The sequence below is a fragment of the Homo sapiens genome, chromosome 8 (assembly GCF_000001405.40).
Source record: "Homo sapiens chromosome 8, GRCh38.p14 Primary Assembly".
In the NCBI taxonomy this organism is placed as follows: domain Eukaryota; kingdom Metazoa; phylum Chordata; class Mammalia; order Primates; family Hominidae; genus Homo; species Homo sapiens.
The window spans coordinates 6,443,934-6,461,564 of record NC_000008.11 but is presented as its reverse complement, the minus strand read 5'-3'; the positions used below and the strand labels follow the sequence as shown (position 1 = coordinate 6,461,564).

At 40.5% G+C, this 17,631-nt stretch overlaps 1 protein-coding gene across 19 annotated transcripts in view; it reads right to left on the bottom strand.

Annotated features, from left to right (window-relative positions):
* MCPH1 (microcephalin 1) overlaps positions 1-17,631 on the bottom strand; it is a 241,882-nt gene that overhangs the window by 186,944 nt on the left and 37,307 nt on the right. For 14 of the 19 annotated variants that reach the window (NM_001322042.2, NM_024596.5, XM_017013833.3 and 11 more), the window contains exons 8-9: positions 16,018-17,172; positions 6,313-6,422 (exon numbers count right to left, since the gene is read on the bottom strand). In NM_001322042.2, coding sequence (NP_001308971.2) covers positions 6,313-6,422; positions 16,018-17,172 — 1,265 coding nt within the window. Of the gene's footprint in view, positions 1-6,312; positions 6,423-14,162; positions 17,173-17,631 lie in introns of those variants that run through there. The other 5 variants (NR_136159.2, NM_001172574.2, NM_001172575.2 and 2 more) reach the window with 1 other exon arrangement.

Sequence of the window (17,631 nt, the reverse complement as noted above, 5' to 3'; positions counted from 1 at the left end):
AGTTCAAAACCAGCCTGGCCAACATGGCAAAACCCTGTCTCTACTAATTAAAAAAAAAAAAAATAGAAAAATTAGCTGGGCATGGTGGCAGGTACCTATAATCCCAGCTACTCAGGAGGTTGAGACACAAGAATCACTTGAACCTGGTGGGGTGGAGGTTGCAGTGAGCCAAGACTGGGCCACTGCACTTCAGCCTGGACAACAGAGCGAGACTCCATCTCAAAAAAAAAAAAAAAAAAGTCTCAACAAATTTGAAACAAGTATATTTAAAATAAGTCTAAAAAAAAACAGACTCTTTTTCTGACTGATTTATAGAGTGATTTTTGCCATTAAAAATGGGCATTACACCAAAAAAAAAGCTAATGGAAGTTATAGCTCTGAGATTCTATAATTCTTCATGGAATCATGGTTTTTTTCACTCTTTAAGAGAAACTGAATTAATGTCAATTCAGGTGTTTAGTGTGTCTTTTGCAAACTGACCTACGTGTTCATCTCAAAAATCATTTCTCTTGAGTTGGCCTCTTACTGCTGTCTTCTCAGAGAAGCATTCACACCAAAACTCTATTTAGAAAAGTTAAGTGGCCGTTAAAATTCACCCATCGTCTCCAGGAATGGTGGACTAAGTAGTTTGAAATAGGCTCCTCACTGTGAGCCCTCAGAAAAGCTGGACAAGATGCAAACAAACAAACAAGCCCCAGCTATTTGCAGACGTTGCCCAGCTACTAAGTCAGTGAGTCATGGAAGAAGAAACCCATGGAAGAGGAGGTGAACCAGAGTCAGAAGCCCACACTCCCAGGGGACAGCTAGCCTCACAGAGACAGAACCCCAGCTCCAGATCATCTCAGTCCCTGCTAGGAAGATAAAGACAAACTAACCAGGCATATTAGATATGGAACGTATGATTGAAAACAACAGATAAGAAAAACAGAAATTGAGGGGAGCCAGAAAAGGGAGTTATTTCAAAAGAAATATGCATAATATGTTCAAATAAATAAAAGATAGGATTAATAATTTTGACAGAGAACTGGAAATGGTTTTTATAAATCAAATAGAGGGCATGAAGGCTCCCGCCTGTAATCCCAGTACCCTGGGAGGACGAGGTAGGAGGATTGTTTGAGACCAGGCGTTCGAGACCAGCCTGGCCAACGTGGAGAGACCCCCATCTCTACAAAAAATAATTAAAAAAAATAAATGGAATAGCAGGGACTGAAAAATAATACATGTTAAAACTCAGTATATGGATTTAGCATCAGAATAGACTTAAAAAGAGTCAAAGGTGAAATGGAAAAGAAACCAATAGAAGACATCCAGAATGAAATAAGGAGATACAAGAGGAAAGAAATAGAGGAAAATCATGAGACATGGGCTATAGAAGCAAAGGATAGCACACGAGATTGCGTTCCCAGCAATGGAGGCGTGAGAAAACAGGCAAAAGAAATCACAGTGGAGAAGTTTCCAGAACAGATCAAAGACAGGACGGCCTGTGACTCTCAAGTAAATAAACAACAAAAACAATACCCTGGTACAACAATCACAATGAACCTACAGAAAACCAAAGATGAGAGCAGTCTAACCCCAGAGCCCGTGGCCGTGGCTGAAGTCAGCCTCTCTCTTCTCGCGGTTCTGCATCCATCCCCGGGCCACACCAAGGCCGTGCTGCTCTTCGCACAGGCTCCAGGCCTTCCCACCTTTCTTGCCTTTGTACCTTCTACCTGGCACCTTCACATTACTCAGAACTCACGACTGACAGCTCTCATCGACTGACAGTCCTGTCTGCAGGGCTGCCCAGATAGGACATTACCTGCAAGTGCTACTTCAGATTTAAAACTAAAAAGAAAATAAAGTCATTAGGGCCACGGGACACATCTGAGTTTCAAATCATTTTCCTCACTACAGAAATAGCATGTAGGCTGGCTCTCAAGTGAAAACATAAAAATGTCAGGCCCAGACCTTACTGTTCTCCATTCTAGTAGAGGCATTGCTTCAGTCATTAGCTGGTGAAAGATATTTCCTGTAAACTCTCCCTTTTTCAACATTAATATTCAATTACAAGATTTTGTTTTCTTTAGGAAATAGAAACAATTTTGTGCTTAATAGAATCTAATACCTTAATATGTCCTTATACATAAAAATATGTGGCGTGCACCTGTAGTCCCAACTACCTGGGAGGCTGAGGCAGCAGAATCGCTTGAACCCGGGAGGCAGAGGTTGCAGTGAGCCAAGACTGTGCCATTGCACTCCAGCCTGGGTGACACAGCGAGACTCCATCTCAAACAAACAAACAAAAAAGGCCGTGTTAAGTTCCAAATTTCAGTTTAACACAGTTTATCTTGAAATCTAACAAGGAACAAAATAAGCAGGTAAAACCTATTTAATGGGAAAAAAAGAATGGTTGAGATACTAACATTATATTTGTAGGCTGCTACTCAGAAGCTTCTAATTTTAATTCACCAATTCAATCCTTCCACAATTCCACTGTATACTTTTAAAACCAGGAAACTAAATTTTAGTGTTTCTGTGGACTCATTACCACATATCAACATAAACTTCTCTCCCCATGCTCATATCAAAAGATCTCAAACTACTGGGAAGTTATATACTTAAAATTTAATGTTGCTGGCTAGGTGCTGTGGCTCACGCCTGTAATTCCAGCACTTTGGGAGGGCCAAGGAAGGCAGATCACTTGAGGTCAGGAGTTCGAGACCAGCCTGGTCAACATGGTGAAACCCCATCTCTACAAAAAACTTAAAAAATTAGCCAGGCGTGCTGGCGGGTGCCTGTGGTTCCAGCTACTAAGGAGGCTGGGGCAGGAGAATCGCTTAAATTCAGGAGGCGGAGGTTGCAGTGAGCCGAGATAACACCAGTACACTCTAGCCTGGGCATCAGAGTGATACTCCATCTCAGAAAAATAAAATAAAATAAAATAAATTTAATGTTACCTTTTAAGAAATTTATATCATTCTTCCTTCTAACCTGTAAAATAATAAAACACGTCCTTCATCTATATTGCTATCAAATTTGCGCTCCTAAAACACTCACTCAACCTTTAAGCAAACAAATCAGGAATTTTTTTTTTTCTTTTTTTTTTTTTTTGAGAAGGAGTCTCACTCTGTTGCCCAGGCTGGAATGCAGTGGCACGATCTCAGCTCACTGCAATCTCCGCCTCCCGGGTTCATGCCATTCTCCTGCCTCAGCCTTCCGAGGAGCTGGGACTACAGGCGCCCGCCACTACGCCCAGCTAATTTTTTGTATTTCTAGTAGAGACGGGGTTTCACCGTCTTAGCCAGGATGGTCTTGATCTCCTGACCTCATGATCTGCCCACCTCAGCCTCCCAAAGCGCTGGGATTACAGGTGTGAGCCACCGCACCCAGCCCGCAAATCAGGACTTTAAGCCTTGGTCTTTAATTTTAGAGTCTAAAAATGAAACAACTTTACATGAGAAATGTTTATAAAGAAATGAAACTTCTTCTAGGATAAATTACTTGTTTAAATTCTAAAAGTCCCAAGGCTGTAGTTTCCAAACTCTGCTTTGCATTAGAATCACCTCAGGAGTTTAAAAAAATCCTAGTGGCCAGGGTGCACCCCATATTAATGACACCAGCATGTCTGGCTTGGGGCCAGGCAGCCACAAACCTTACAGATCCCCAGGTGAGTCCAATGCGCAGCCCAGTCAGGAAGCACTACCCTAGGGCATTAGGAGTTTTTGATTCATTCAAGCAAAGGCTGTGCGGTGAACACTAATAAGGACTGGATTAGGAAGAAAATCCTGCGAAAGAGGGGAAACCTAGGTCTTGCTCCTTCTGCTATTGGCGAGACGCAATACAGAAGGTGGATTCTTCGCCCTCACTAGGTGTTCGTCCCCTCCACGTTAAGGACGGGGTGCCGCACTGGGGTCGGGAGCTGCTGGCCAGGAGGGTCTCAGGTGGGGCCAGAAAATCAGCATTTATTTATTTATTTTTGAGACAGAGTCTCACTCTGTCGCCCAGGCTGGAGTGCAGTGGCATGATCTCGACTCACTGCAACCTCCCCTTCCTGGGTTCAGGTGATTCTCCCACCTCAGTCTCTTGAGCAGCTGGGATTACAGGTGCCCACCACCAGGCCTGGCCAATTTTTGTGTTTTTTGTAGAGACGGGATTTTGCCATGTTGGCCAGGGTTTTGCCATGTTGGCCAGGCTGGTCTCGAACTCCTGACCTCAAGTGATCCGCCCGCCCCAAAGTACCGGGATTATAGGCATGAGCCACCATGACTGGCCCAGAAAATCTGCATTTAAAACCTGCTTTGAGTGATTCTTCACACAGAACCAGAAGTGGTGGATTCGTTTCAGAAATGACATTCTAAATTATGAGGGCAAAGTTTACTAATACTCTTAAAATATTTTTAAAAGAAGACTTAAATTTGAGCAAGTTAGGCAGTTTAATATATGAAAATATTTTTGTTCCTGAGCACAGCAGTTGAAGGCAGATATGGAGGTGTGTATTTGTAATTGTGTATTTTGTCTCCCTCTCTGACCACTCATTCTTTTATCATTACTCAAGACAGTAATACCACCTTATATTTATGGAGCACTTACTATTTGATCTACAGAAGAATGCCAGAAGGTCAAACAGGTACCCATCTCCCATTCATATGCCATTTACAGTGAGATGCCTCATAAGGAAGAAGGGGCCACACTCCCGCCCAGGATGCCTGTCCCTAACCCAGTGCTTCCACAGACCCAGCCCATCAGATTCAGGGCTATCCCAGGCACAGGGAGGCAATACCACTCGTCTGAAACAGTAACTTCCACTGTGGGCAAATGAGAAAGTCAAACCTCATGCCTTTTGATCAGACAGGACGGAGTATTTTTATGGTGAGTAACAAGTAACTCAACACTCAATATTTACTGAGCACTTAAAAAAAAAAAAAGCCAGACATGGTACAACGTAGAGTACCAATAGAGATGAGAGGTACCACGGCTTCCCTGGGCAGACACTGGCAGAGGGTAAAGGGTCAGTAAAGCGGGAGGGCACAGAACAGAGCTGTGGTGCCATGCGACGCATCAGCAGGAGAGGCACGGGAACGGTAGTAGATGCAAAGGAAACTGGTTCTTTATTTCTTTCCAAATGAACTAGGTCAAGCGGCCATGTAGCAGTAGGAAGAAGACTGAGAAACTGGGACGCAAAACACAAACTCAGCCACAGTGTTGCGAGCGTTCTAGGAAGGGCCCCACCCCTGGGAGGCAGCGCGCTGAGCAGGTCCCGCAGGCTGCAGTGGAGTCACAGTGCGCAACGCCATTGTAGAGCAGGTGCCTTGGTGTTGCCCACGCCACAAACATGTTATGGGACCCTGACAGTCTCTCTCTCTCCACATCTGTTGCTTTACCTGAAATAGGGTTCCTTTCCATTTTCTTGCTCCACTTTTTTTTCCGAGACAAACCAGAAAGCATCAGTAAAGAAATCTAAGTTTCTACAAGTTACTGCCAACTTTCATGAAATCTGTGTAATTTTAAATGTCTTTTAACCATTGCCAAGATAAGAAGCAAAGGAGTCAGGTTTCTCTTCCGCAGGTCAAATGCAGCCGCCCATCTGTTCAAGCCTGCGTATCAGGACCTGGAAGCCCCATGCAGACCCATCTACTCTGTCATTCTTTTCATCTGTTGCTTTTCAATCGGTATGGTTTTTCCCTACCATTCTGAATTCAGGTTTCACTACATTATACTTTTTTGGCCTCATAAAAATGAGGCACAAGGTATAATATATATGGCTAATTTTAAATTTAAGCAATGCAAGTAGATATTGAATGATAAAAACATTTAAAATCCTCATTCTATTACTCATGTAAGAGGATCAGCGGAGTCTTTCAGAGGAAGAGCAAGGTTTTAAAGCCAAAACCACAAAGGGAAGGGTGTACCTGAGTGTTAGTATATAAACCTTTCACTCTGATGGCTTGAGGTCAAGACTTGGTTAGTTCAAAAGTGAATGAATGTTTGGATTCTTCACCTCCTACCTAGTAAATATTTATTCCGATTATAAAATGGCAAGAAACACTGGCACAACCAACATTCTCTGCTTGAGAGAAGCTACAGGCATTTTTATAAGAAATGCATTAGCAAAGTGATATGAGAAAGCTTGCTCTATCAATAATAACTCTTTGTCTGGAATGCAAACAACGCTTTCAGTTTCATATTCTGAGTTTTCCAGCATTTACCCATAATCAATTTTTTAGAATAAAAGACAAGTCAGATAGACTGGTTTATGTTTCATTGACCCAGAGAAGAACATTATGATGTATCAGCATTTGAAAGTTTAAAATAATATTTTTACACACTGACCTTTTTGCCTCTCCCACTTTTCTTCAATTCCTCATGAGGTTTGATGAGGTCCTTAAAGCCGTCACATGAGTCATCTAAAACATCATGCCTTGTTGGTCTATTTTTAACACCTAAAACCCAAGGGGATTAAAAATTAGTTAGAACTTTACATGGACCAAATACAACTTAAGCAAAACAAAAATCACATTTATGCATAATGGAAACAGGAAGTTATAGGCCTTTTAAATAAATTGTATATATCTGGCTCTTTGAGATCTATCTAGAACTTTCAGTTTATTACATTCCAATATCCCAAGCAATTCACTTAATTCAATGGTCGGTAACAATCAGGTTACAGTGTTCTACAGCATCAACTCCGTCCATTTGATAATGTAAGAAAATGTATACCCATACCTTACGCACTCGTCAAACTTAAATTCTTAGATTTTAAAATAATGACAAAGAACAGCTCTTCAGAGTAGGCAGTTCCATATTAGAGGCAATAATTAATCTAACTTTTGGGGTCAGTTTGAGATTTTCTAGAAAATAGTCTTCAGTACAGAGCTTCAGGCTTCAACCTACAAATGATGGATGATGATTTTACTCCCCCCAAGTTTCCACCTTAGACCAGCGTCTTGCCATGAAGACACACAAACCAAAAGGATACTCATTCAAGTGAAATGTGGTTTCCTTAGATGCTAACCTCTGTAGACCTAAGTAACCCACGATGAAATGTGAAATGTGTACTTTGATTTGACTCATCTACTGCCTCAGAGGGTGCCTCTTACTCTCACCCTTCCTCCTCCTTCAAACAGTTTGCCTACTTTATGACTTACATGGGATTTTGAAGGAGGAGCTAACATGGACCATAACATGGTCTCAATGGTATAATGCAAACTTTGACGCAAAAGTTATGTAGCAGCCTAGGGGGTACTAGAACCTGCCAGGCAGGTGATAGCCAAACTGCACTGTTGATTACCTAATGATTAACAAATAGCTAATCATCTACCCACTGGAGATGCAAAATGCACAAGATATAGTCCCACACTTAGGGAGCTCACAACCCAATAGACAATGTAGATGCAGATGAATAAATATAATGCAACGTGAAATTAACATCAGTGCCCTCAGAGATTAAAAATCATATAACATGAGAAAGACTTCTTTGCAGATAAAATGCTATAAAGCCAGCTATAACTAAGTTTGGAGAGTCTAAGGTAAAAACTGTCACTCTTTTCAAAAACAGGGTCCTATCTCAGTGAAAAAGGATGTAGAATAAAAATGTTAATACTTTCCTGAATTCAAGCTAGTTGTTATTTGCAGCCTGGGCCCTGGACAGATTTTAAGGTCCAGTTCTAAACCACAAACCTACCAACCTACACTCTTTGCCATAATCCCTAATACTGAATCCACTCGAGACTCAAACCAGTCACATCCTGACTGATCCCGTACCTCCTCAGGTATCTTTTATGGTTGACTTGCACTGACTTTTCTCCCAGGCCCACTTTATCCCCCGGGGTAGAACATGAATGCAATCTCCTATCGTCTTTAAGATTAAAAATAATTAGAATTATTAATTATATCTACTACGCACTTATTTTCCTTTTTAAATAACAAATATTTACTTGAAGCATGAGTGTGTCAAAATCGGAAAAGCAGTGGACTAGAGATATAATTTGGGACGTAGTGCTCTGTTATTGAGTCATGAATAAATTTGCAGCTTCCTAGTGTATTCAATAAAAGTTTTATAATAGCCACTTGCCTCAGTTCTTGCCGAACAACGAAACAGGCTGTAAAGCATTTTATAAACATAAAGTTCTAAGAAATGCAACACAATCTTTTAAAACTTAAGAAAGACTGATATTAAAAAAAAAAAAGACTGATATTGTTAACATGTTTTCACAATTTCACAAATCCTGAAGTCAAAAAATGATCTAAGTAAATGATTTTATTTAAAACATTTCATAAACTCTGCCACACTAATTTGCCAGTGGGTTTTAACATTGACATCGGTAAACCCAAAGCAGTTGAGAGTGCAAAGTACTTCTGAAAACATTTGTGGAAAGATTAGTTGGACTCCACTTTTGGCAGGAGGTCTGTAAACAAACACCTACCCTCCTCTTCCTGACTCTCCCACTTCTTGGATGACTCTTTATTCGTGTTTGCTCCTAAGTGTGGTTTTTTCATGGGTTGTCATCAGCTCCCTTCTCACTCCCCAAGGTGATTTCATCACTTCCCATAAAGTCGTCCATTACTGAAGAGACCTAATTCTCTGTACCTTGTCTAGACCTCCCAGCTGAGGTATGGCTGGCTATATCCAACTACCTAATGGACATCTATTTTGAATGTCTCCAAGAAATTCCAACGAACATGCACTCTTTAGCTGCTCTTCCTCCAACACACCCCAGTTGGATGAATGTCTGTCTTCTTCGGCTGGGGCTACCATAACAAAATACCACAGATTTGGTGGCCTGAAGGCCGAGATCACGGTGCCCCCATGGTCGGGTTCCGGTGAAGGCTTTCTTCCTGGCTTGAAGGAGGCTACCTTCTTGCTGTCTTCACATGGCAGAGAGAGAGGAAGCCAGTTCTCTGGTCTTTTTATAATGGTCCTAATCTCATCATGAAGCCCCCATCTTCAAGACCTCATCTAAACCTAATTATCTTCCAAAGATCACCCTATCCAAATGTTATCCCATTGAGGGTTAGACCTTCAGTAAATAAATGTGGGGGTCAAAGGACACAATTTGGTCCACAGCATTTCCCTGTGAAAGCCATATATCTTCCTCTCATTTTCCTCCCAACCTCATTACACACACAATTCATTGACTTCGTTTTCACGAAATGATCAAATACGGAAATGAATCTGACAGACCCCACATTTTTATCTTTCAGTTATCTGAAATTTCACCATTTGGAAATTAGTTTGGATTAATAATACCATCAAAATGCAAACACATCAATGAAAGCTAGTAAATGATCACTCACTCACCTCTCAGTGTGAATTAGTTAAATCACAACCTTCAGCTACTCAACAGAGATAAGCAAGATTAAGGAAAAGTATTGATACTGAGGGAAAAGAGAAGAAAATGACTAATATGATCACTTTGGAGCCAGATCCAGGGCAAGACAGTATAAGGACACATGTAACTTAAATACTAGGAAAGGGAGAGATGAAGAAGTGGACGATGAAAAGACTGTAGGAGAAACTTGGCTTGTGTCAAATTTTGTCTAGAGCTAAGGCCGAAGAAATAACTCTTATTTTTAACATTTATTTTCCTCCACATCCTACTTTCCTACTTCCAAGATACAGAATTAAGACTAACAATGCTAATATTAATAACACATTTAAACAATTAGTATTTACTCTTACAATGCACTATGCAAGAGTCAAGGGTTGAAAAGGCTTCTGAAGGCTGAATAATCCATAATTTTAACATGTAAAAATATACACTTAACATTATCCAATGAGAAATGTCTTCTAAGCTTCAAAAATTTGAATATGAAATTATTTTACAATGTAGTATGCAAAATATTAAGACTGGAAAGAATCTTAAAAGACACCTAGGAAAAATTCCTTTCCAGAGATACCTTTGGTATATATGCAAGTTATACGGGTTCTACACAAGTAAAACTCTGCTAACGAGACTGTATTCATATTCATCTATTAAAATATCAAGTTCACTTTGTTCATTCTGAAAAAAACAAAAACAACACTCTTCAATAGATAATGCGGAATTTTATCCTTTGTAATCGTTGTAGAGGTCATTCCAATATCAATTTTAATTCCCACTGAAAGTAATTGCTCTGACTTTTGAATTTCCTGATACTTGTGTGTAAAGTATCTTGACTGTACCTTCCCTACTTAGCTAAGTTCTTTAAAGCAAGGGACAGAGCTTTCTATTAACCTTACCTCTCTCACTGTTTATACATTGGACATAGTAGATACGGAGTAAACATCTGACAGATAAAAAATGAATATGTAAATGAATGAATGAATCAACCAAACAGTTAAGTGGTCAATAGCCTTCTGTTAAGACTGACTAACCCACATCAAGTTGCTAGGATTGCTTAGTTTTGCAGCCCCAGTGAGTTAGGCTGGCAGGCTATGGGAAAGGGGGTTCTTAATACACTTGTGAATTATTTGAAGAGTCAAAAGTGCAACAATTTAACATACTTAATGAATATATGTCTATCTATTTATTTGCAACAATAGTAATTCACAGTTCCTCTTGAATGCTCAGAATTTGCAAAATGTACTATACCATAGGCTGGGCACAGTGGCTCACAACTGTAATCCCAGCACTTTGGGAGGCAGAGGCGGGCAGATTGCATGAGCTCAGAAGTTGGAGACCAGCCTGGGGAACGTAGCCGAGTGTGGTGGCCTGCGTCTGTAGTCCCAGCTACTCAGGATGCTGAGGTGGGAGGATCACTTGAGCCCAGTAAGTTGAGGCTGCATTGAGCTGCGATCATGTCACTGCACTCCAATTTGGGTGACAGAGTGAGACCCTATCTCAAAACAACAACAACAAAAAACCCCAACTCCTGTAAATCATCCAGCCCAATATTAGATGCTTTGTTAAAAGCCAAAATGGATGACAAAAATGAGTGGTTATCGGTGACATCATCAGCTTGTTAATCAGCATAATGGATGTGAGAAACAGTTTCTTATTGGTTAAATTCATGGATTCAAGAACACTGAATTGGCTTAAATATTGCAGGGGAACCCAATACCCACACATAACAGAGCATAACCATCTAGTATGAGTTGTGGCTGGTATCCCTGGAGGTGGTATCCAAGGCTTAATCCCTAAATGACCCTATAATAAACCACAGGGTCAAAGGATACACGATGGTCTGGTGCTGAGTGCAAGTTTGCAGAAACTTGCCCATAGAATGTTGTCTGCCTCCAGCAAACCTTTCAGATAAAGTATGGACACTGCACTAAAGGACAGAGAACTGGGCCTTCAGCATATTGGTCAATTTGTGGACCACTTCCTAATTGCTTGCCAATAAATGTTTAATAAATGTCTTTCTGATACTTGCCTTCAACAAGATCTGGTAGATAGAAGGTAGAAGAGTAGTTAACCATCATTGACCTCCAACAACTGGTGACTATTATCGATGAACAAGACCCTGGTAGTTGGACATGACCAAATTGCTCAGATAAGCTCACAACACGTATGTACAAGGTGCTGACATGTAAAAATCCATCACACACAGCAAAGAAGAAAATCTGTATCAAACCCATGGACAAGTGGGGTATAGATAGGAAGGACTTTTCTGCTTTTGCTAGTGAACACACGGCACCTATAGGACAACTGTGTCTCCTTCGTGAAAAGCAACTAGAAGCCAAGCTGTGCACTAGTTCAGGATGACCAGTCGGCTTTAACTACTTGGCAATTCAAACTGACTTTCGGTGGTTGAAGAGCTGTGATTGGCAGTGCTAAGGGTCAGGTGGGACACATTTCCACACATAAGCAACGATTCTCTCTTGTGCTGTCAGAGGTTAAAACAAGAAGATCTCCATTCCCATGCAAACTGGCTGTGGACATACTTCCTGAGCCCAAACTACAGCAGCACTTTTCAGACTGAGTGCAAGAGCAAAGGGAATTTCCTATTTCTTTTTTTTTTTTTCTTTTTGAGACGGAGTTTCACTCTCGTTGTCCAGGATGGAGTGCAGTGGCATGATCTCGGCTCACCGCAACCTCTGTCTCCTGGGTTCAAGTGATTCTCCTGCCTCAGCCTCCCAAGTAGCTGAGATTATAGGCATGTGCCACCACGCCTGGCTAATTTTGTAATTTTAGTAGAAATGGGGTTTCACTATGTTGGTCAGGTTGGTCTTGAACTCCTGACCTCAAGTGATCCACCTACCTCGGCCTCCCAAAGTGCTGAGATTACAGGCGTGAGCCATCACACCTGGCCGGAATTTCCTATTTCAAAACCCATTTAACTGCACAATTGAGGAGCTTCCACCTATTTTTCAATTGCAAGTGATGAATCTGCAATATAAGGACACGCTAAGAGGCAGGCATCGAGAGAAGAATCTAAGAGAATTCCATCAGCGTCTTCTAAGCAATGAAGATGCTCAATGCAAATTATCTAACTGTGGACTGACATCGAATCAGCAGTATCTGTCTGTGTGAAAAGATATTTTCAAAAGTGAAATACGTAAAATCTATCTTATTACAAATCAGCCTTAATAAACATTTGCAATCAATGTTGGTGATGGGAACACTCAGTCTGAACTCCAATTAAATGAAATGTTATTATTCCCCCACCACAAATTATTTTATTTTTCTCATTAATAGACCTGTATTACAAAAAAAAATGTATTCCAGTGTCAATAAAAATTTTGTGGAAAATGTCTTTTTCTCATTATGTAATCATCTCATGAGTACCTACATACCTCGATTTGGTCTCTTTGCCCATGAAGCGTAATAAACTTACTATCTGATCTGTTACAGAAAAAGTGTGCTGACCCTACCTATAGGCTCTATTAGAAAATGAAGATTTACTGGTACCAATATGTAAATATATGACATACTGCTTTTGTAAAAAGCAATTTTTAAGGCAATATAATTCTATGCATGCAAAAAATTCTCTTAAAATATCTATTTGCAGTTGTATGCTTGTAGACACACACACAAGAAATGTGTGGAAGGAAATATTAAACTGTGGACAGTGGCTGCTTCGTGCAGACAAACACTCCAACCCACAGTCTGTTCTTCAGTGACCATGGTTACATTTAAAACCTAAATCAGATTTGGTTGCTCCCCTGTTCAAAAGCCCCAATGGCTTCTCATCACACTTCAAAACAAAACAGCTGCCCGCCTTGTCAGAGACTGAAGGTCCCAAAGCTCTGGCTCTTACCCCTCTCCAACCTCCTTCCTGCAGCTCAGGAAGTCCTTGCTGTACTGGCCTCCCCGTTGTTCCTGCAAGCATTTTCCTCCATCAGGACATTTGTTCCTGCTGTTACCTCCAGCTGAAACATGGATTTTGACAGAGTCACAGGCTCCCTCTCCCTCCCCAGGCCTGTGATCGGATGTCACCTTCTCAGGGAAGCCTTCGTTGGTCACCTTATCTATCCAATGCAGTATTGTTTTTCTTTTTATCATTAACTGCTTGCTAGCTGACATTGTTATACACTTATTTACTATTTGTCTTCCTCTATGAGGGTGCACGCTGCTTCATTCTCTATGTCCCCACAAACTTGAAGAGCACCTGAGACACAACGGGTGCATGTCTTTCATTAGTTAGGAAGTGAATTAGTGAAAAGAGGCAAGTGAGGAGATGGAAATTCTAGTCTTCTTAGCAATCTTTGTTACAATGGGAATGTATCTGTGTACTGTTTATAAAATTAAGAGAATAAAAAAGTAAAAAAGAAAAAAATTAATGATTTTAAAGATTTTAGAAAACAAAATTGTTGGCCGGGCGCGGTAGCTCACGCCTGTAATCCCAACACTTTGGGAGGCCGAGGAGGGTAGATCATGAGGTCGCGAGTTCAAGACCAGCCTGGCCAAGACGTGAAACCCCATCTCTACTAAAAATACAACAAAATTAGCTGGGCATGGTGATGGGTGCCTGTAATCCCAGTTACTCGGGAGGCTGAGGCAGAGACTTGCTTGAACTCGGGAGGCGGAGGTTGCAGTGAGCTGAGATTGTGCCACTGCACTCCAACCTGGGCGTCAAGTGCGAGACTATGTCTCAAAAAAAACTAAAAAACAAAACAAAACAAAACCAAAATTGTTTCTCGCTCAGTTCCCGTTCTATCAGCGTATTGAAGCTCTTTGTAACTTGTTTTTGAAGCCTTTTTTACACTGTATCTTAGATACTGACAACAGCAACAAGTAAAAGTGAACTGAAAACAGAAATGGCAAAAAGCCCTTTATTTCGACATTAAAGATTTGGAGGTACAGTTTGCTGTACAGAAGTTTTCACCCCTCCATAATTTCACCAGATATAGAGTGTGCATCCCTGACATTGAAACTGAAGGCTTTATGGTTTCATCTTCTAAGATAGATTCCCAAAGAGAGTTGGTTCACCTGAGTCCCAGGGGGCTGACAGTGGACAGTTTAAAACATTGATGAATCTTTATTACTATAAAAGGGTTCGATTTAGGCTAGCCAACATGTAGGTCTTTTTATGTCCTAGAACCCAGTGACTTCCCGTCTGTCTGTAATGGCATGAAGGCAGGTGACTGTAGAAGATCCTCTCGCACTAGCGCACACAGAATGTTTTCTTGCACCCGGGCCCTGCCTGGACACCCCTGCCTGATGGCCTGCACCACTGAGCGAAAAAACCTCTCCGTCCCCACCAGGGTGCCTTGAGTCAACTAGTGCTGGCCCCTCACCCCCTTCTACTTACCCCCAACCCCGGAGGCTGTCGACGCAGGGGGGCAGTGTTCTAGAACATAACACACCTGCTTCCGAGGACTAGCACACTCCCAGCAACACGGGGATTTTAGGCCATGCCACACTGTTTGCTACCAGCTTTTTCCTACTTAATTTACATTTCCATGTCATTATTATTCAAAAGCTTAAAAAATACACAAGGTGAAAACTGGAAAGATGGAGAATGTAAACCTCAGAACAGGATATTCTTAACTACCAAAGAATTTTACACATCTATTGTTTTATATTAACTTTTGAGTCAACATTTTAAAATAAATATTTTGAAAACACATACTAAGGCTAATGGAACATAAAATACAGTTTCTTGTCAAATTTAATATATGTTCAGAAAGCCAAGATATAAATAGCAGGCCAAAAACATAAAATTATTTTCATTCTTTTTGTGAAACAATTTTGGGGAGCGTATACTCAAGGAAAAGGTATGTAACATGTCTGTGATGATTTCAAACGCTACCATGACTTCTCCACCTTCAAAGAGGCAGTTAAAACATTTGTAGAGCAGAGAAATCATGCAGAGAGAATGCGTTCTCACTCAAATTTTAACCTAATCTTTAGGTAAAGACGGTCAAAGTTCAAGATTTCTTCAATTTTGGTTGCTGGAACCTATTTGTGCTTATAACTGTGAAGTGCAAAATTTTTTATTGTTTTGACTTTTAATAAAATGATATGGTTTATTATAATTACAATTAAATTATGAATAGGAGTAAACCTTTTCAAGTGATGCTTCAAGCAAAATAAGTACAAGTTAAACAAGGCTTGTTACAAATGATCAAAAATGTTTAAATGTTTCTTCATAGTTAACACTGACCAAAGTTTCTTCAAAAATCAATATTGACAACAGATTTCTAAAAGTAGTTTTTCACACTTTCTCTATGATACAATCGATGGCTTAATCTACCTTAATTTCTTTCTTTAAATAGCCTCACTATTAAGAACCTAGGTTTTAAAAAACTCTCTATCGTATACATCTTTACACACGCTGCAGCGCCAAGACTCCAATGGAATAAGGAAAAAGACTTCACTCCCCTCAGTTATTCATACTATGGACTACTTATCCTTTTGACCTATAAGAAGGAAAAGTCTTGGAGAAATAGATTCCTAACAGACTTAACCAATAAGTCTAGAAGTTCCACAAGACAGCAAGTCATCTATTCCTAAAGAGTTTATCATTGGAATGATCAAATGCACATTCTTTAAGTAAAAAGAGGAGTAAATGGGGAAATAAGTTATGAAAAAGTTGTGATAAATTTAAAATATGGATGCACTGTTACATGTTTATTTAGCGAAGGTGACTTGGAAAAGGAGATTCACATACTTCCACTGTATCCTCCGGGTAAGTTTTCCTTCTCTTCTGTAGACGTCTCCATGTTACAGTCAACTATAAAACATGGCTCATGTTCACTCTGGGCTTCGCCTTCAGAGGAGTTTGATATTTTGGAAGTGGTACCTTTGTTCTGTGTGCTTTTCAGACCAACCGCTTCTTTCATTTCTTCAAGGCTTCCTTCCAAAGGAGTTAAATCATCATCATGTCCTTTTGGAAGAGCAGGGTCCTCAATGGTGTAAGAAAAGCCATTTCCCTCTGGGCATGCGTCTTCTTTCCCAGCCTGTCTACAACACCTTAGGGCTTCTTCAGGGGCAGAAGTCACGCAACTCGAAGTTGCACGGCCTTCACCATTTCCAGTTTTCCGAGGACTGGAGATGGTTTTTGCTGTGAAATTGGTAATGTCAACTGTTCTGGTTTTTTTGCCAACGCAGGAAAAATCAGACATTTCAAATATGCTTGTTCTCTCCTTCTTAGAAAGACTTCTGCAGCTCAACTGAGCAGGGCTTGATGGCAGCTGAGATTCAGGAGGAAGATTCTCTGAATACCTTTCCTTAAGATTATCAGGTGAAAAATAGTCATCATATGAAGACTCCCCACAGCTAAGAGCCTCCAGGGCAGGTCCCGCCACGTGCTGCAGCCTGTCTTCCGACCTGCACAGCTGCAGCCTCGGCATGATAGATCTCCTGGTGCTCCTCTTTCTCTTGCATTTTTCCTTCGGAGGTGAATGGGAGCCATGTGATACTCTTTTTCTCTTTACTGAGGAACTCCTGGGTCTTGAATGTATCAAAAGGTGGCCTTTTGTTGAAGATAAGGTAGGAGACAAACGATACTTCTCTTCAAACGTCTCCTGAGACATACCTGCAGCCTGCTTTTGGTCAGGGGTGACTACTTTACCTGCAATATTTCTTTGCAAGTTTATTTCTTCCTTTGAAAGATTACTCAGAAATTTCTGAGGACTTGATTTATCGAGGTGAGTGAAAGATGGTGATGAATGAATATTATTTGCTTTCAATACAAGTGAAGAAATACACACATCACTTTTAATGTCATTAATGGATCCTTCCAACTTCCTTTCCTGATTTCCACATCCTGAGTTTCCACAAAGATCATCAAAAGATGAGTGTAAGCCACCAGCAAAGTATTCATCTGGAAAACATTAACGGAGAGCTAACTTTTAAAAGTGGTTTAAATTATTCTATATTCAACTTTCAGTTGACCAATAAAACAACTTTTAAAGTACAGCTATTAGTTAAGAAGACTATTAACCACACTTGAGTTCTTCTCATTTCCACTTAAGGGTACATTTTAGGCCAGTATTTTTAACTAGAGAACCTGGGCTTTGATGGGTGTATGGGATAGCAGTGGGGATAGAGAAGAGGTGTAACAAACTTCTAAAAATTTTAGGCAAATTTCCATATGCATGTGCACATTTTCCAAAAGAGCATCCATAGTTTGTCACTAAATTTTCCAGGAGATCAATAATTCTAAAACCTAAGAACTACTGTTGTAAGATCTAGGGAAAGTTCTAGACTTGCATGAAACATTCCCTCAATGAACACAGCTCACCCTTACCTTCCCTGTCTTCCAGTAAAGTCCTCGTATTAC